This window comes from Homo sapiens, chromosome 12 (genome assembly GCF_000001405.40).
Source record: "Homo sapiens chromosome 12, GRCh38.p14 Primary Assembly".
NCBI classification, from domain to species: Eukaryota; Metazoa; Chordata; class Mammalia; order Primates; family Hominidae; genus Homo; species Homo sapiens.
Window position 1 is genome coordinate 110,369,486 of NC_000012.12, and position 19,626 is coordinate 110,389,111.

Sequence of the window (19,626 nt, forward strand, 5' to 3'; positions counted from 1 at the left end):
CCCAGGCTGGAGTACAGTGATGCAACCACAGCTCATTGCAACCTCCACCTTCTGGGCTCAAGCAATCCTCCCACCTCAGCCTCCTGAGTAGCTCCCGTGTGCATTGAAGCTGGGACCATAGGGACACACCACCATGCCCAGCTAATTTAAAAATTTTTTTGTAGACATGGGGTCTATGTTGCCCAGGGTGACCTTGAACTCCTGAGCTCAAATGATCTGCCCACCTCAACCTCCCAAAGTGCTGGGATTACAGATGTGAGCCACTGCACCTGGCCTGAATTTTTTAAACATGTGTAACTTTAGGTAACACATATATATTACAAATACACACCATAGTTCACATAAATTAAGATGTGTTTACTGGAGTTATCCAGATGGCAGGCTTACAGGTCATTTCTTAATTGTCATAAAACATATATAACATAAAATGTGCAACCATCCGCACCATATCCAGAACTTGTTAAGCATTCTAAGCAGAAACTCTGTCCCTATTAGAAACTAAGTCATTCCTTCCCCCCAGTTCCTGGCAGCCTCTAATCTACTTTGTCTTTATGAATCTGACTGTGCCAGGCACACCTCAAGATTCATGGAGTCATACAGCATTTGTCCTTTTGTGATTGGCTTCTACCACTTAGAATAATGTCCTCAAAGTTCCTCCATGTTGTAGCATGTGTCACTTGCCTTTACAAGGCTGAGTAATATTCCATTGTACCGAAAGACGCACCTTGGTTTGTTTATCTACTCATCTAAGGACACGTGGGTTGTTTCCACCTTTTGCTGCTGTGGACAGTGCTGCGTGGACATGGACGTGCAATCTTTTGGCGTTCCAGCTTTCACTTCTTCGGGTGTACACCCGGAGGTGGAACACTGGATCCTAGGGTAGTAGTACTGTTTGAATTTCTGAATCGCCAGACTGTTCTCCACAGTGGTTGTGCCACCTTACATTCCCACCAGCAGTGCACAGTGGCACTGTTACTTTAAAATTCATATTTTCTTTTCATGGCTGCTGTGGAGGCTGCACTGTGGGCTTCTTGGTTTGTTCCTGACCTTGCTGGTGCCGTGTGCTGTGCTGCCAATGACCTTCCACAGCAATCTGAGAAAACCCTACACTCTGGACCAGGCTGGTGGTGGCCTGGGCGGGGGTGCTGTTTGCCCAGGCCTGGAGGGGTCTAGACGGCAGACCTGCACTGCACCCCAAGACGGGAGGTGGCAACTGAGGCCCCTCCTGCTGCCCTGGGGCAGGGAGGCTCCTGCAGAAAGTGGAAAACCTTAGTAAGGCACTTACCTCAATGGCCCCTCCCAGCGCAGGGCTTCCCGGTGACCTGGCCACAGCCGTGCCTGGAGGATGAGGTGAGGTTCATGTGGAGTCTGGACTCACTGCCTGTCGTCAGCAGGGAACGCAGGCCTGAGCACAACCCCAGAGAGCTGCTCACGGGGACAGCTCACCTAAGCTCTGGGAAGCAGCTCCGCGCAGGCCCTGGCCTGCCACAGGTAAGCCAGTGTAGGGCTGGGAACGCAGGAAGCCACAGGTGAGGCCTTTGGAGGCCGGTTCCTCCCACCCACGGACAGCTGCAGAGTTAACTCCCAAGGGCCCTCTGGGGTCAGGCCTGCAGCTGTTGGGAACTTCGAGCTCCCCTCTCGCAGGTTTCTCAATACTTTTCCAGGGAACACCTGCATAGAATAGGAAGTCAGGGTGGGAAGTGAAAGCTGCAGACCACTGGGCCTGGGCCAGGCCTCTGGATTCCAATAAAAGTTTGGTGCTGGGCCTGGGAACCTGCATCGCTGAGATGCATGCTCTAGTTTGGGGATTGCAGATTTGGGCAAAAGCCGGCCTCATTTTTTGGAATTCAGAGGCAGGAGTGTGGCCCCCCAGCTGTGGCTGCAGGGAGAGCTCCTGCCATCAGCCATGAGTAGGGTACATACCTACCAGGTCCCTGGAGCCCAGCAGAGGTTGAAAAGTGAAAAATGGGAGGTTCTGTTGAAGGCAAGGCTCACCTCGACTCCAGAGCCCGCCTCCCTGCTTGGCTGAGGGCCCTTCAGAGACGAGAGGGCTCCAGAAGTGCAGAACCACCCCCAGCTCCCCAGGGAGGCCTGGCCAGCTGGCATTCCCCCGTGAGGATGTCGCAAAGGGTGACGTGCTGAACGCCGCACGGACTCATTTAGTCCTCACCCCAGGAGGCAGCAGGGGCTGCATAGCTAACTGCCCCAGCAGCCCATGGGTTCTGAGGGGCAGGGGGGTCTTTTTAGACCCAGGTGGTCTCTGAACAATCTGGAAGGTGGAGAAATGACTGTTTAAAACACCCCCATACTGGCTGTGTGGGACTCCAGAACCCAGAAAGAACTTGTGGTGACTGGGCATTTGGGGGCTGTCCTTGGTCAGGTGCCTGGTCTCCAGGCAGGTGGCTCGGCAGGAGAGACACAGGGCTGAGCAGCCTGGTTCTGTCCCTGCCTCCTGGAGCTCCCTGCCCTTGAGGTTTTGGGTTTGTGAAAGAGTGACAGTGGCAGTGCCAAGCGACAGCTTCAGCACCCTCTGAGCACCACTCTTTGATGTCGACCGAATGTTTTCTCCATCCCGTGTGAGGTGGTTTCACACCTTCAGCCGCCTCTTCCAACCTGGCTGTCACCCTGGGGCTGGAGCTGCAGAGAATGAGGATCCGTCCTAGCAGGTGCTGGGCTGCAGGAGCCTGGAGAGCACAGGGGCTCTCAGCAGGGCTGAGGGGCATGTCAAGGAAGGGGATGGTGGGAGGGTGCCAGCTGAGGGCAATGCATGGGGCCTGGGCTCTGGGACCCTGATCCAGTGGATGTGAGTGCGGTGGTGAGCCTGCCATGCAGAGATGAGATTGCGCGGTGGGGCTGGGCTTCCTCCTGGAGTCAGGGGAAAGGAAAAGAGGCATCGCCTCTCTCTCATCACAGTATGACAGGTCATGGAGCTGAGGAAGCCCATGAAGTGAGGCTGCATCCTGGACAGCATGCCTAGGCCAAGGGGCAGGCAGCTTCTTCTACTGGCCGCACACTCACCTGGTGTGACCCCAACTATCTGTGGGGCTTTATTTTTTTTTAAACACTGTCTCTGTCGCCCAGGCTGGAGTGCAGTGCAGATCCTGGCTCACTGCAACCTCCACCTCCTGGGTTCAAGTGATTCTCCTGCCTCAGCCTCCTGAGTATTGAGTAGCTGGGATTATAGGTGTGTACCACCATGCCCGGTTAATTTTTGTATTTTTAACAGAGCGGGGGTTTCACCATGTTGGCCAGGCTGGTCTCAAACTCCTGGCCTCAAGTGATCCACCCGCCTCGGCCTCCCAAAGTGCTGTGATTACAGGTGTGAGCACGCCTAGCCTTATATGTCTCTTTAGAAGTGGCTCAGATCAAGTGATGTTGCGCAGGCTTTGGGTCTTAGACTGAAAGACTCATAGAAACTTTTTGCCCATTTTAAATTGCAGTTATCAGATGTTCTGAGCTCATTAACTACTGTACACTTACAGTTTTTACATTTTAGGATACGACTTTCTACTGACATCAAATTTATATTTTGCAGCACCTTGGACTAATTTTTGAATTTGGGATTAGCTGTGACACCCACCCCTCACCTCCGATTAATTGTATACTCAGAGCCATCGCAACTTAAGGCACAAGGGAGAGGGTGTGGGAAGAAACTCCCAGCCCCAGAGCTCAGGGTGTGATACTCAGGCTGACCAGTGACAGACTGCTGGAACCAGACCCCAATCTCACAGCTGCAGCAAAAGAGCCAGGCAGACGCAGCTGAAATCTGGCCAAAGACTCTCAGGCTCCAGGGAAATTAACCTACCCAATATGCAAACAGATGAACCAGCTCAGGGTTCCTGAGCTTTCCAACCCTCCTGGCTCCCAACACCAGGGGAAGAAAGTCTATTTCTGGCAAATAATTCTGGGGCTGAATCAATGCATTGCGAATAAGACAAAAATACTAAGAGTCTATTTTGAAAAGGGCTTCCATTCTGATCACCCCAACACCATGACTGTACAAACCAGTTTTATTAGGGAACTGCCCCAGGTGCACCTCTGGTTCATGCTCTTGTCACACCTGTTTCTCAGATCAGCCCAGGCTCAGAGGCAAGTTACTAGCTAAGCAAAGAGGAAAACTGTTCTGCAAAATAGCAACTGTCAGCTTAAGGCATTACTAACATTGCAGAAGGAAGCAAGATTTACTAGGGACATCTGGATAGCCCAGGACAATGACTTCTGGGAACAGGAAGCTCCCTAGGGCCAGATCGTGCTGCCATCCAACTTGGGAGATGACATTATCGTGCTGGGATGGTGGGTAACTCCTTCAAACCAATCCATGTCACAGAACACTGTCTATTCCTTGAGCTTTTGGATTTAGAAATTAGTTATATAAAAAGTACTCTTGGCCCAGAAGCCCCAACATGTGCGTGGGTCTCGGGGCACTCCCTCAGTCCTCCCTGGCTGGAGCAGGGGAGGATGGAGATACATGGAAGGTTGGTCAGGCTCTGTTTTAGAAATGAAGTCACGACTAGGAATTGGGAGCGAGGGGGCAGAGACCCCTGCTGCAATCACATGCTGAATCATTGTCCTTCTGAGAGCAGGCTCCTACGGTTCCTTCAGTCCACGGAAGTGCTCAGAGCAGGGCAGGCCACTGCGGCCATGGAGCTGCCGCCCCCTCACTGCATGCCGAACCACTGCTCCTGGTCAGCCCACTGGGCCGCCTCACTGTCGCTGCCCTCCAGGTCCCCTTCTTCCCCACTCCCTTCCATGTCGTCCACATCCTCCTCCTGAGTGGCATCCGTGGGACTCTCCTCCTTCTCCATCTTCTGCATCCCCTCTAGAGACTTCTGGTCATTGGGGTCCAAACTAGGGGACAACAAAACAAAGGAGAGGCCTGAATCTCTGCCTTGCTCTTGCTGGCTGATTCGTCATCTCCCTGGCCCGGCAGTGAAATGACCACACAGTCCCAAAAAATGTGCTAAAGCCTGGCCTCTCCAAACAACTCAGGCTTCCAAGGCTGGGTTGAGGGAGTCCACCACCAGAAGTGCAAAAAGGAGTCTCTTCCTAATTTTTAGAGTTCTCAATTTGAGTTTTTCTCCACAAATTTCTTAAACTTTTTCATACCTATTACCCCTAGCATTCTGCTAGAGGCGGCTACCAGATAACACAAATGAAAAAGTGGCAAACAAACATTACCAGGTAAATTCAAATGGAATTCCCAGAAAGTTGGGTTTTAGAGCTACAGGGTTACAAAAAATAGGAATTTCTCTGAGTATAGGTGTCCCATGTTCTTATGATGTAATTAAACATAGCAGCATTTCAGGAGCCAACCAAAAACATCACGCTGTACCATGGAACAGACTTGTAAACACCTAGGTCAGACCCCAGGACCCAAGGCTACCCCTACCCAAGCATTCACATTTAGCAGCTGAGTGTCAGTACATACGCCACCCCCACCCCCAAAGTTCAGAGCCTCTAGAACATTCATTTATTTGCCTCCTAAGCAATCTTTCCTCTTGCCTTAGTGACCATCACCCAAGCCAGCAGGCGTCCCACGCCTAGCAAACCCCACCTCTAATGGAAGTCTGATATTTTATTTTCTCACTTGCTTCTGAGATTCTAAAAAGCAGCTAAAACCCATGTTGGCACCGTTTCTACCGATATAAATGCGGACCGATCTGTAACATCTCCTCGTCTCCTGGTTGAAGCCTTCCACATCCTGTACTCTGAAGCTCTCACCCATACCCAGGGCTCCTGCCCTCTGGACTCCCACCTTCCCTTCTACAGACTACTATGAAAGCCCTTAGCACATGGCATGGCCAGTCTGCATGTCTGAGACTGACAGCTCCCGAAACATAGCATCTCCAGTTGTCACTGAGATGCTAGGCACACAAGTGGTGCTCAACTGTGTGCTGAACAATTGAATGTGATCAGACTCTATTAAAGACAGCCCTTCACCATAACCTTACAGACACACAGACAACCCTCAAAGAAACCACTTCTGTATTAAACAGTAAGAATACCACTATTTATTTAGCATTTACTATGTACCAGGCACAGGGCTAAGAGCTTTACATGAAATAATCATTTAACCCTCATTCGATCATTTAATATCTAATAAGGTAGCTAGATATAGACAAGGAAATGTGTTAGTAACTTGCCCAAGATCACAGGTGGTGAAGGTAGTATTCAAAACTTCAGACCTCAAGTTCTTAATGACTACAGTAGATAGAAACATGGGAAAGTACTTACAATACTTTGATTTGAAAAAGAAGAATATAAAATATATACTAGGTACAGCCCTATAAAAATATGTGTGTGTGGGCAAGGACAGAAGATGAGCTATACAAATGAACACAGATGTTATAGTGGTGTGGGATGGTTATGAGTGAAACAGTTCTCTAATGTTGTTAATATATTTTAAGAAAAAATTTTTAGAAGTCATGAATTCACAAATAACTCTTCTACCATTACTATTATTATTCTGCTTTCAACCATGGACACAAAGTGTGTGTGTGTTTCCATAACTCCTGTGACACAGCTCACTGCCTCCTCTACCCTCCTCAGTGGCCTTCCCCCAAGGGAGGCTAGTGCCTACCTTAGTGCTATACTATACTGGTCCATTGCCTCCTGATACTCATTGACAGCTACAAGGAAATCTCCTAGGATCCGATGCAGGACACAGTCACTCTGATTAGCCAGTGCGTTCCTCAGCAAAGCAATTCCATCTTCATATTTCTGTTCTCTGCCTGGGGGAATAAAAAAGACCCTCACTTAAGTCATGTACAAAAAAACCACAACTACCATTCTGACCATCTCTTTGCAGACATCCTCAAGAGAACACTGGTGCAACACAAAGCGAGGGCAAGCACACCTGAAGCCCTATTCAGTTAAGAAATTTTCCATCCTGGCTAACACAGTGAAACCCCGTCTCTACTAAAAATACAAAAAATTAGCCGGGCTTGGTGGCAGGTGCCTGTAGTCCCAGCTACTCGGGAGGCTGAGGCAGGTGAATGGCCTGAACCCAGGAGGCGGAGCTTGCAGTGAGCCGTGATTGTGCCACTACACTCCAGTCTGGGCAACAGAGCGAGACTCCATCTCAAAAAAAAAAAAAAAAAAGAAATTTGCAGTTTGAATTATAATGTTTTAAATGGGCTCTTAACTTTAAAAAGCCAAACTGCTTTGCCAACTAGCCCAAATTCAATGAACCAAATTATGAGTTTATCATAAATCAGGACTGAAAAAAAAAAAAAAGGGCCAAACGGGAAGTCATAAAATCATCCAGATAGCTCCACTCAAAATGGCTAAAATCAGTTAGTTATATTCAGCTCCAACTAATTCAGGACAACTCAAACCAGATAACAGTGAGCCGAGGCTGGGCACGGTGGCTCACACCTATAATCCCACCACTTTGGGAGGCCGAGGCGGGTGGATCACAAGGTCAGGATTTCGAAACCGGCCTGGCCAATATGGTGAAACCCCATCTCTACTATAAAAAAAAATAATAAAAAATAAAAAAATTAGCTGGGCATGGTGGTGCACGCCTGTAGTCCCAGCTACTCAGGAGGCTGAGGCAGAAGAATTGCTTGAACCCGGGAGGCGGAGGTTGCAGTGAGCTGAGATCGCACCACTGCACTCCAGCCTGGGTGACAGAGCAAGATGCCGTCTCAAAAAAAAAAAAAAAAAAAAAATTAGTGAGCCGAATAGATACCAACCAATTATAGGTGGTTGGAACCAAGCCAAGCAGATCTAAGCCAGCTACGTTTGGTTGGGCTAAATATAAACCAATCCAAGCAGGCTCAGACCTGCTGCAAAAGGCACACACCTGTCTAGTCATCTGTAACTAGCTGGGACAAGGGGCTCCAACTGAGGTCAGGTTTTATAAAAATTAATGATGAACAGGACAGAAAATAAGACACACTTACTAAGTAGTTCTGCTTTTTTCACCACAGCCTTAATGTAATCTGGCCTTTGGGTCAGGGCTTTATCTAATAATGTTTTGGCTTTCTCCTGTGTCACTGGGTCTTCAAGACAAACGGTGGCTAAAAGGGTAAGGGTCTGTGCATTTGCTCCCAGAGTTTTGTAAACGTTGTTAGCCATTACCATTGCTTCTCGAATACTGTTGGAGGCTAAGTAACATTCGATAAGACCTGAAAAAAGTAAAACACGTGAAGACATTCAATGCCATTACCATTCCAACCCATGCTTCCACTCTGACAGCTCTCCAAATTGCTAACCTTCAAAGTTTCAGACAAAGGGCAGGCCACGGGAAACTGATGGTGAGATTAGACTGGCAAGAGTGTTGATGGAATAGCTAAGAAGTGCTCTTCCCCAGAGAACTTGATGGATGTAGAAAAAGACTGCCTTCAAAGGCACCTTCAGTTTAGGGAAGGAAACAAGCACATGTAAGGAACCTGCAGCATGTGAGCACCCCATCTGACCACTGGAAGAATAAATGCGACACTAATGATTAGTCTGTCATATGGCCAAGAGATCAAAGTAGTGAGAGATGATGTTCCCAACAAAACCCAAGGTTTTGCTGCCTCTTAACAAGCAGTTATTCTCCAGCTGCATTCGGTCACCTGTAGGGCTAGGTTTAAGATGGAAGACTCCTAGGGTCTTTATTTTATTATTTATTTTTTTTGCGACAGAGTTTCACTCTCGTTGCCCAGGCTGGAGCGCAATGGCGCCATCTCGGCTCACTGCAATCTCCGCCTCCCGGGTTCAAGCGATTCTCCTCCCTCAGCCTCCCGAGTAGCTGGGATTACAAGCATGCACCACCACACCCGGCTAGTTTTGTATTTTTAGTAGAGACGGGGTTTCTCCATGTTGGTCAGGCTGCTCTCGAACTCCTGACCTCAGGTGATCCGCCCAGCTCAGCCTCCCAAAGTATTAGGATTACAGGCGTAAGCCACCGTGCCTGGCCTGGCTCCTAGAGTCTTAAAGTGAATTTACAGTTTGACAAATAAAGGACTTATTGTCAAGCAACTTAGGGAGAAAGACTCTTTTATTTGAAACGTAACAGCTGTCTCAAAAGGCACTTGCTGAGGGCTTCCCTAAACGAGATGAACAGTACTTACCACATGCACCAAACAGACTGCAACTGGCAGCCCTTGCCTCTTTCCACACCCACAGCGAGACGCCCTATGAGGAGGCCACCTTGAGAAGAGTCAACTCTCAACTCTTCATGCCAGTAAGTTGAGGAGAACAGAGGAATAACTTTTTGGCACAAAGTGCTCATCAAAACAAAAAAACAGCTTAAAACCCCAAACCCACACAATCCTTGGCAGATTTTCTCTGCATACTCCTCCACCCTAGCAGCATTTATAACATTCATGCACACCCTTCCACACACTATGGTTACTTAACCAGAAATTACCTAACTCTAACTATTTTTTTTTTTTTTTTTGAAATGGAGTCTTGCTCTGTCACCCAGGCTGGAGGGCAGTGGTGACATCTCGGCTCACTGCAACCCATGTCTCCTGGGTTCAAGCAATTCTCCTGCCTCAGCCTCCCAAGTAGCTGGGACTACAGGCGTGCACCACCATGCCTGGCTAAATTTGTTTCTATTTTTAGTAGAGATGGTAGTTCACCATGTTGGCTAGGCTGGTCTCGAACTCCTGACGTCAGGTGTTCCACCCGCCTCAGCCTCCCAAAGTGCTAGGACTACAGGCATGAGCCACCATACCCAGCCAATTACCTAACTCTTAAGGGCAACATGTTGGATTCCACATACAGTTGTTTGCAATTACTTACTGAATAGTTTTACTTCCCTGCTAAAGCCCTACTGGAACTTCAGAAAAAAACAGAATGCACTTGCCTAACCTAAATCTCTACCAGCAAAAGAAGGAAGCTCCAACTGGAAACTGTAAGAAATATCAAAGGGTGTAGTCAGAGTTGCCCTGACCTAAATCTCCAAATGGCAGCTTAAGAAGCCTCACTGGCCAACTGGGAAACATCCGCTGTCCAAATATTATAGGACGGACTATTCAACCGCATCCCTGAGCTCTGGTGAAATAGGCATGCAGTATAATGGAATTAACATGATTAACAGCAGCTGGGAAGACAGGGAAGTTACAGTTTCAGGATCAAGAAGTTAATCTGAAATCAATGGTTGGTTTGCTAGAGCTTCTTTCAGAACAAAGACAATACTCTTTCCCCCTCAACAAATCCAGAGGCATAGCTCTCTGGCTATATAAGCAGATTTGTTCTCTTTCCCAACATCCAAATTTTATTTCTCAAATTTGAACTCATCTTCCTGTTAAGAGCAAATCACTCCTAGACTCCTAGGTTTATTTTTAAATGCTTATAAAAATATGTTTTGGAGGAACTGCATCTTGTAAGATCTATTTTAATGTCTGTGACTGAGTCACCAAACGTTGCTGAAACTGGCACAGCTCCTTTGAACTCCCAGGGTCAATTCACATGAACTTAAAATATTACATAACAAAACAAAGTTGGACCCTGATTGTGCCCACTCTGGAGGTCACAATGAACAGACCCATTCCCACAGCCAACACTATCATATGGATGTGGAGTTATCCCACGAGTACTAACTCTGGCCCAAGGTAAGATGGCCACGAAAAAGAATAGGCCTAACAGGCCATGTACAGTGGTTCACGTCTGTAATCCCAGCACTTTAGGAGGCTGAATTGGGCAGATCACTTAAGCCCAGGAGTTCGGGACCAGCCTGGCTAACATGGCGAAACCCCATCTCTACTAAAAATACAAAAATGAGCTGGGTGTGGTGGTGTATGCCTGTAATCCCAGCTACTCAGGAGGCTGAAGCAGGAGAATCACTTAAACCCGGCAAGTGGAGGTTGCAGTGAGCTGAGATTGCACCACTGCACTCCAGCCTGGGTGACAGAGTGAGACTCTATCTCAAATAAAAATAAAAAAAATAGGCCGGTTGTGGTGGCTCATGCCTGTAATCCCAGAACTTTGGGAGGCCAAGGCAGGCAGCTCACGAGGTCAGGAGTTCGAGACCAGCCTGGCCAACATGGTGAAACTCCATCTCACTAAAAAATACAAAAATTAGCTGGGTGTGGTGGTGGGCGCCTATAATCCCAGCTACTTGGGAGGCTGAGGCAGGAGAATGGTTTGAACCCGGAAGGTGGAGGTTGCAATGAGCCAAGATCATGCCACTGCACTCCAGCCTGGGTGACAGGGCGAGACTCTGTCTCAAAAAAAAAAAAAAAAAACAGGACCCGGGCACGGTGGCTCACGCCTGTAATCCTAGCACTTTGGGAGGCCGAGGCGGGCGGATCACGAGGTCAGAAGATTGAGACCATCCTGGCTAGCACGGTGAAACACTGTCTCTACTAAAAATACAAAAAATTAGCCAGGTGTAATCCTAGCTACTGGGGAGGCTGAGGCAGGAGAATGGCATTAACCCGGGAGGTGGAGCCTGCAGTGAGCCGAGATCATGCCACTGCACTCCAGCCTGGGCAACAAAGCGAGACTCTGTCTCAAAAAAAAGAGGAGTAAGAGAAAAAAAATAGGCAAACTAAGTGATCTTGCATGGTGTCTGACACAGAGAGATTCATATTAATGAGTACGCCACACTGGATGGGGGCGAGCGGTGGGAGGACAAAAAAAAAAAACCCCATCCCAACTATACCCTCACCAAAAACCAGAAAAAAAATCAGAAAAAATGGATTATGAAAGTATGGGGTGACAAATCCAGTGAAAGCCCTAAATAAATGTAAAATGCCTAATGCAGTGGTTCCCAAACCTGTCTGCACATTGGTAACCCCTGGGGACCTCCAAAAATATCGATGTCTATTCCCAATTCCATGTATTTCCATCTACACTGGAGAGACCCAACGTCAGGATATTGAAAAGCTTCCCCGGATGATGTTTTTTTGTTGTTGTTGTTGTTGTTTTAATAGATGGAGTCTTGCTCTGTCGCCAGGCTGGAGTGCAGTGGCGCAATCTTGGCTCACTGCAACCTCCGCCTCCCAGGTTCAAGTGATTATCCTGCTTCAGCCTCCCAAGTAGCTGGGACTACAGGTGTGAGCCACCATGCCCAGCTAATTTTTGTATTTTTAGTAGAGACGGGGTTTCACCACGTTGGCCAGGATGGTCTCAATCTCTTGACCTCATGATCTGCCCGTCTCGGCCTCCCAAAGTGCTGAGATTACAGGTGTGAGCCACCACGTCCGGCCAGCTTCCCCAGATTATTCTAACAGAGTTTGGGAAGTGCTGGCCTAATGAAACCTTCCATCTGAGGGCTGCTGCCACACCCACGGATTCACACCATTCACCTATGTTTTCTTTCTTACCTTCATAACAATCTAAGCGACAAGGTGCGAGCCGTATGGCCTCCCGAAAGTGGATTATTGCTTCTTGGACTCTGCCCATGTTCCTAAGTGCTGCTCCCTTAAGTAGCAGAGCTTGAACACTATTACTGTTCAGCTGAATGGCCTTGGCTCCTAAATAGAGGGCCCGGGAGTAGCGTTTGCTATAGAAGCTGTGACAGCTGGAGAAAAAAAAAAAAAAAAAAACACAAAAACCCCAGAAGTTATCCAAGAGAAGACTACAAAGAAAGTTGATCCAAAAATCATATTGAAGGCCCTGAACATAATCCTTATTCCAAACCACACTTATAGTTTTAACCTAAGATATTAGTAGAAAAGCAAAACAAACCAAAAAATCCACTATTTATTTTTAAGGGGAAATCTTGATATGGAAGAGAAAAATTATGAAAAAGAACCTATGATCTGGATATTAGTTATTAGCAGAGAGGCATTCAGAGAATTTGTAAAGCCAGGTTAATAAACAAAGGAGCATCTTCTGGCCCCATCACTGATGGCTCAGTACTAAGCACAATGCATTCACCAACTCAGTTAATGCTTAACCCTAGAAGGAGAGGTTATTAGCCCATTTTCCAAATGAGAATACAGACCTAGATAGGTAAATAATGCATCCAGAGTCATAAACTATTATTTGAATCCAGGGCTGATTATCCTTTTAAAAAAAAAAAAAAAAAAAAATATATATATATATATATATATATATATATATATTTATAGAGACAGGGTCTTGCTACATTGCCCATGCTGGTCTCAAATTTCTGGCCTCAAGTAATTACCTCTTTTTATTTTTATTTATTTATTTTTGAGACAAAATCTCACTCTGCCGCCCACCTGGAGTGCAGTGGCACGATCTTGGCTCACTGCAACCTCTGCCTCCTGGGTTCAAGCAATCCACCTGTCTCAGTCTCCCAAAGTGTTGAGATTACAGGCATGAGCCACCATGCCTGTCCAGGTGATTACCTCTTAAACCTGTGCTTTCAATTTATATTCTCTTCAAGAGCAACCATTATCTCTTAATCTACTGACAACTGGGGAGAAAAGAGAATGCATAATCATACCCAGAAACCACCCACGGTTCTGCATGCTGATCAGAGATATTGAAAAGGCGGCATCCAAGGTTCTCAACATCCTCTAGCCGCCCTTCTCGTGCCAGTAGGTAGCCATATACATCCATTCCTAGAAGAGAAGGACATAGTGAGAAGAGGTGTTTTAAGAAGAGAAGCAGGGGTCCCACATACAGGAGTAGCACCCAACATCAGACCCCATGCTGAGGCCCCAGCTCCTGCAGGGGCTAAGCCCTTTCCACCATCACAGGCTCCTCCAACTACTATTTCCAGTTTCCTACAAAGTGACTATTAAAATGCAAAACCCAGGTTGGGCACAGTGGCTCACACCTGTAATTCCAGCACTTTAAGAAGCCGAGGCAGGTGGATCACGAGGTCAGGAGATCGAGACCATCCTGGCTAACACGGTGAAACCTCATCTCTACTGAAAATACAAAAAATTAGCCGGGCATAGTGGCACGCGCCTGTAATCCCAGCTACTTGGGAGGCTGAGGCAGGAGGATCACTTGAACCAGGGAGACAGAGGTTGCAGTGAGCCGAGATCACGCCACTGCACTGCCTGGGTGACAGACTGAGACTCTGTCTCAAAAAAAGAAAATGCAAAACCCAGCTGGGCGTGGTGGCTCACACCTGTAATCCTGGCACTCTGGGTGGCAGAGGCAGGAGGATCACCTGGGCCCAGGAGTTCAAGACCAGCCTGGGCAATATGGTGAGACCCTGTCTCTAAAGAAATTTTAAAATATCAGCCAAGTGGCCAGGTGCAGTGGTTCATGCCTGTAAACCCAGCACTTTGGGAGGCCAAGGAGGGCAGATCACGAGGTCAGGAGTTCGAGACTAGGCTAACAGGTGAAACCCCATCTCTACTAAAAATACAAAAATTAGCTGGGCATGGTGGCGTGTGCCTGTAATCCCAGCTACTCAGGAGGCTGAGGCAGGAGAATCGCTTGAATCAGGGAGGCGGAGGTTGCAGTGAGCCAAGATCGTGCCACTGCACTCTAGCCTTGGCTACAGAGCGAGACTCCGTCTCAAAAAAAAAAAAAAAAAAAAAAAGAAAAAAAAAAGAAAAAAGAAGGGCCAGGCGCGGTGGCTCATGCCTGTAATCCCAGCACTTTGGGAGGCTGAGGCAGGTGGATCACGAGGTCAGGAGTTCAAGACCAGCCTGGCCAAGATGGTGAAACCCCGTCTCTACTAAAAATACAAAAAATTAGCCAGGCACAGTGGCAGGCGCCTGTAATACCAGCTACTCGGGAGGCTGAGGCAGGAGAATTGCTTGAACTCAGAGGGCGGATGTTGCAGTGAGCCGAGATTGCACCACTGCACTCCAGCCTGGGCAACAGAGTAAGACTATGTCTAAAACATAAAATAAAATAAAGTAAAATAAAATAGAAAGAAAAAAAAATTAGCCAAGCACAGTGGCACATGCCTGTGGTCCCAGCTACTCAGGGGGCTAAGGCAGGAGGATTGCTTGAGCCCAGGAGGTCAAGGCTGCAGTGAGCTATGTTTGTGCCACTCCCGCCTGAGTGACAGAGTGAGACCCTGTCTCTAACAACAAAACCAAAACCAAAACCAAAGGAGGCCGGGCACGGTGACTCATGCCTATAATCCCAGCACTTTGGGAGGCCGAGGTGGAAATTCAAGACCAGCCTGGCCAAGATAGTGAAACCCCATCTCTACTAAAAATACAAAAACTAGCCAGGCGTGGTGGCACACACCTGTAATCCCAGCTACTCAAGAGGCTGAGGCAGAAAATTGCTTAAACCAGGAGGTGGAGGTTGCAGTGAGCCGAGATTGCACCACTGCACTCCAGCCTGTGAGACTCTGTCTCACAAAAAAAAAACAAAAAAAAACAAAAAAAACAAAAAACCAAAGGAGCAGAACAACCTACCTCACAATTTGAAAGCCTGCTATTTTCAGGAAGTGCTTGTCCTTCTATCCTGTGGTGTGATACACAGCTACCCTAACCCAACCAGAAAAGGCCCAAAAAAGGCATCAACTAAGGTCTCTCTTCCCAGAGTTCTAGACCATCAGAAATACACTGCTGAAAAGCCAATCAGTCTCAGAAAAAGTTGGCCTATTCCAGAAAAAAGCTTGTAGTTCTATCCAGAATGCAGTTCATTAAAGATCACTGCCTCGGGCTGGGTGCAGTGGCTCAGGCCTGTAATCCCAACACTTAGGGAGACTGAGGCGGGTGGATTACCTAAGGTCAGGAGTTGCAGACCAGCCTGGCTAACATGGTGAAACCCCCGTCTCTTCTAAAAAAATACAAAAATTAGTTGGGTGTGGTGGCGGGCGCCTATAATCCCAGCTACTCGGGAGGCTGAGGTGGGAGAGTCACTTTAACCAGGAGGCGGAGGTTGCAGTGAGCAGAGATTGTGCCACTGCACTCCTGCCTGGGCGACAAGAGTGAAACTCCGTCTCAAACAAACAAATAAAAAATCACTGCCTCTCCGCAGCCCCCGCTTTATTCTCACCCACATTCTATAAAAAGGGACCTATGCTCACTGTTACCCATCTCTTGCCACCATTCTCTTCCATCCCTTGCTATCCCTTCAGATTCCCATGAAAATTCCTCTCAAGCCAAGATTACTGCAATGCTCCTGCTAGCCCCTGGGCCTGGGTCTGAGATTCCAAGCTGCCATTGCCATTCCAAGCTGCCAGCTGTTGCCAGACTAGTATTTCTAAAACATCATTTTCATCATGGGTGCAGGCAGCTTGGAGAAGAGGAATAAGCACTTGAGGTGAGGGGAGATCTTGTGCAAACAAATCCATCCTTCTAGATCTGCTTCCTCATCTAAACGCTTGGGATGGCCCCTTCCCAGCTCCATCATTCCCCTGGCTTAAGAGCTCATAAGACTGTTTATTGTCACAAGGCCCTGTTTTTCTGATGGCCTTTTTTGGACCTTTACAAATAGACAGCATATCTATCTGACCTTATTTCCCACTATTCCTGAGAACTCACTGCCAGTGTCCTAACTGCCATCTGTTGGAGGTCCCTGTGAAGATTACCCTTCACCTGCAATCTTTTTCAAGATCAGTGATTTTTCTGTTGTTCACGCCTAATTACTGCCTTTAATCACCTTATCCCTTTCTTATTCCTTTTTAATTATACTAAGGACATGGCAAAACAAAATTCCCTAAAAGGATATTATGGTTTTAGGGATGCCATCCAAATTCTCAGTCAGGCACACCATAAATTTATAAGTCATAAGGAGGAGCTATGACCCCCTCAAAAGAAAAAAAGCCAAATAATGATCTGTGGGGAGAAGACACTTGAATTCAAGCAAAAACAGCTGCTCAAATGGTATTACCTAAGCGTTAGAGACATGTGTCATGACCTAAAAAAAGTAAAAGACTAGTATAAGTTTTATACACCATTTCTATGAAACTTGGTATCGAGTATTAATGCTGCATATTCTCCCTATTATCTCTGATCCCCCCCAACAACAGCCACTGTCTTCCTGCCCCAAGAATTACTTACCTTTTATCAGATAAGGATCCAACATCTGTGCCTGTTCAAACTTGAGGACAGAGTTTTTATTGTCTCCAGCTCTGAAGTACAGATCTGCCAAGCTTCCCAATAGGTCCACGTTATCTCGCAATAAGGATTTTTTCTCTAGTGAACTTTAAGATATTTATTAAACATTGAACCTTTAAATCTATTATAAATCCTCTTAGTTGCTGAATCTGGATGATTGGTCATACAGATACTATTTTCTTTTGCATAAATATAAAATTCTTCGTAATAAAAAACTTTAAGCTTATGACTTTAAAAAAAGTTATATAGGACAGGATAGCAAAAACAAAGAATAAAGCAGAAGTCTCTCAGTACCAACAAATAACTCTGTGGTTGCAGTTCTTCAGAACACAACATACGCTACATGGTGTTAAAGGTAATGTCATTCACAAGTGACACCTATTTATTACTCAAGTAAACGACTTTGCATAACACAAGCCCAAGTCTCTTCTTGTCCTTGAACTTTATCTGAATATAAAGAAAATCCCTAGTCCTAAGCAGGCAAGCTAGGTTAGACACTGCAATAAACCAAGCTTCTGGTGAGTGCAAAATGATTTTCTTCCAGGCTGAAGAATGATACACCAAGGCCAGGCATGGTGGCTCACGTCTATAATCCCAGCACTTTGGGAGGCCCACGTGGGAGAATCACTTGAGCCCAGGAATTCAAGACCAGCTTGGGCAACATGGTGAAATCCCATCTCTACAAAAACATACAAAAATTAGCTGGGTGTGGTGGCATGCGCCTGTAGTCCCAGATACTCAGGAGGCTGAGCAGGAGGATGGTTTGAGCCCGGGAGATTGACAGGTCAAGGCTACACTGAGCTGTGACTGCGCCACTGCACTCTAGCCTGGGAGAGAGAGAGAGAGAGAGAGAGACAGAGAGACAGAGAGACAGAGAGAGAGAGAGAGAGAGAGAGAGAGAGACAGAGAGAGAGAGAGAGAGAGAGACAGAGAGACAGAGAGAGAGAGAGAGGCAGAGAGAGAGAGAGACAGAGAGAGAGAGACAGAGAGAGAGAGAGACAGAGAGAGAGAGAGAGAGAGAGAGAGAGAGAGAGAGAGAGAGAGAGAGACCGACCTTGTCTCAAAAAAAAAAAAAAAAATGACACACCAAGGTAGCCTGCTTTGCTTTGCAAGGGTTACTACCTGTGCAGGCACAGAGCTAAACTCAGTCAGATTTCTATTTTTACAGGTCTCCAACAGAGATGATTACATGATTACATTTGGGACCATTCAGTATAAAAGACTAACACATCCCAGAGACTGGCTGCAGCACCAACAGCAAAGCATCTCATTTTTCTTTTTGCTACTTCAGATACATCAGACTTCCAGACAAGCAAAGGGCCTCAAGAACACTGAATTAACTTTGTGGCTCTCACCAGATGGTACTGATTGCTCTTGAGTTGTCACCAGTGTGCACAAAAGCATACGCTTTGATCCACACAGAGAGCCAGTCCAAGTTAGGCACGGTTTGGATCACATTCATTGTCATGGATGCCACCTCTGCCCCTTTTACAGAAAGGGACAACAAGCCTAAACCAACAGAAAGCAGAAGAAAGAAAGTAAGGCACGATATCTCTCTTCCACATGCAAGGAGCAACGGGCTACATCTTCCCTTGGCTAAAAGGCAACTGCTTCCCTATTCTGAGCGATGCATGAGAGAAAAACCATAATTTAGTATTTCTTTTCTTTTTGAGACAGTGTCTTGTTCTGTCCCCCTGGGCTGGAATGCAGTGGCACAATCTCAGCTCACTGCAACCTCTGCCTCCTGGGTTCAAGCGATACTCATGCCCCAGCCTTCCGAGAAGCTGGGACTACAGGCACGCGCCACCATGCCTGGCTAATTTTTGTATTTTTAGTAGAGACGGGGTTGTGCCATGTTGCCCAGGCTGGTCTCGACCTGCTGAGCTCAGGCAATCCACCCACCTCAGCCTCCCAAGGTGCTAGAATTACAGGTGTAAGCCACCATGCCCGGCCAAAAACCATAATTAAGTATTTCTTGATTGAATATGTGACAACAGGAATCCTACTAAATCACTCTCTTCAGGGGAACTTTTAAAAAAAATAAAGTTATTCTAATGTACAGGCAAGATTGAGAACTACTATCTTTGACAGTAAACATGCCATGAAAACAGGCAGGAAATATCTCTACCTAGAATGGCATCAAGGGCTAATGGGCACTGCCTCAGCACCTCCTTATAGCTGGTGACTGAAGGGCGCTCCTGACCAGCCTTCTTGTACAGGTTTGCCAGCATCATGTTTATCTGTACAAACACAAATAACAGATAGCAAAATAAGCGTATATTGCAAAGAAAATCTCTCACCATGAAAAAGTCCTAATTTTCATTACCAGTTATTTACTTTTTACTGGAAAATCTACCCACAACCCTGTGCAAATAAAGGCAGACTGACCCCATTCTTCAAAAGAAAGAAGAAATTGGCCAGGTGCAGTGGCTCACGCCTGTAATCCCAGCACTTTGGGAGGCCGAGGTGGGTGGATCACGAGGTCAGGAGATTGAGACCATCCCGGCTAACACAGTGAAACCCCGTCTCTACTAAAAAATACAAAAAAATTAGCTGGGCGTGGTGGCGGGAGCCTGTAGTCCCAGCTACTCGGGAGGCTGAGGCAGGAGAATGGTGTGAAACCGGGAGGCGGAGCTTGCAGTGAACCGACATCACGCCACTGCACTCCAGCCTGGGCTACAGAGTGAGACTCCATCTTAAAAAAAAAAAAAAAAAAAAAGAAAAGAAA

At 47.0% G+C, this 19,626-nt stretch overlaps 1 protein-coding gene and 1 long non-coding RNA gene across 9 annotated transcripts in view, besides 1 other annotated feature; both read right to left on the reverse strand.

Moving 5' to 3' along the window:
- Nucleotides 1–336: 336 nt before the first annotated feature.
- LOC124903014 (uncharacterized) lies at nt 337–3,115 on the reverse strand. The gene is made up of 2 exons (XR_007063457.1): nt 1,286–3,115; nt 337–874 (listed from the first exon to the last, which is right to left on the reverse strand). It is a non-coding gene; the product is annotated as an uncharacterized LOC124903014 (long non-coding RNA).
- A 299-nt stretch (nt 3,116–3,414) lies between these two features.
- Nucleotides 3,415–19,626, reverse strand: part of ANAPC7 (anaphase promoting complex subunit 7) — a 30,809-nt gene continuing 14,597 nt past the window's right edge. For 4 of the 8 annotated variants that reach the window (NM_016238.3, NM_001385209.1, NM_001385208.1 and 1 more), the window contains exons 4-11: nt 19,027–19,138; nt 18,254–18,407; nt 16,842–16,984; nt 13,358–13,475; nt 12,267–12,463; nt 7,908–8,132; nt 6,581–6,731; nt 3,415–4,848 (exon numbers count right to left, since the gene is read on the reverse strand). In NM_016238.3, the coding sequence (NP_057322.3) occupies nt 4,659–4,848; nt 6,581–6,731; nt 7,908–8,132; nt 12,267–12,463; nt 13,358–13,475; nt 16,842–16,984; nt 18,254–18,407; nt 19,027–19,138 (1,290 nt within the window). In that variant the 3' untranslated portion in view covers nt 3,415–4,658. Of the gene's footprint in view, nt 4,849–5,988; nt 6,732–7,907; nt 8,133–8,219; nt 8,359–12,266; nt 12,464–13,357; nt 13,476–16,841; nt 16,985–18,253; nt 18,408–19,026; nt 19,139–19,626 lie in introns of those variants that run through there. The other 4 variants (NM_001385212.1, NM_001385211.1, NM_001137664.2 and 1 more) reach the window with 4 other exon arrangements.
- Nucleotides 15,256–15,315: an enhancer, noted in NCBI's record as "active region_7001". NCBI's record gives its function as "activates an Ori minimal core promoter by ATAC-STARR-seq in GM12878 lymphoblastoid cells {active_cell/tissue: GM12878}" and the evidence as "EXISTENCE:reporter gene assay evidence [ECO:0000049][PMID:35858748]".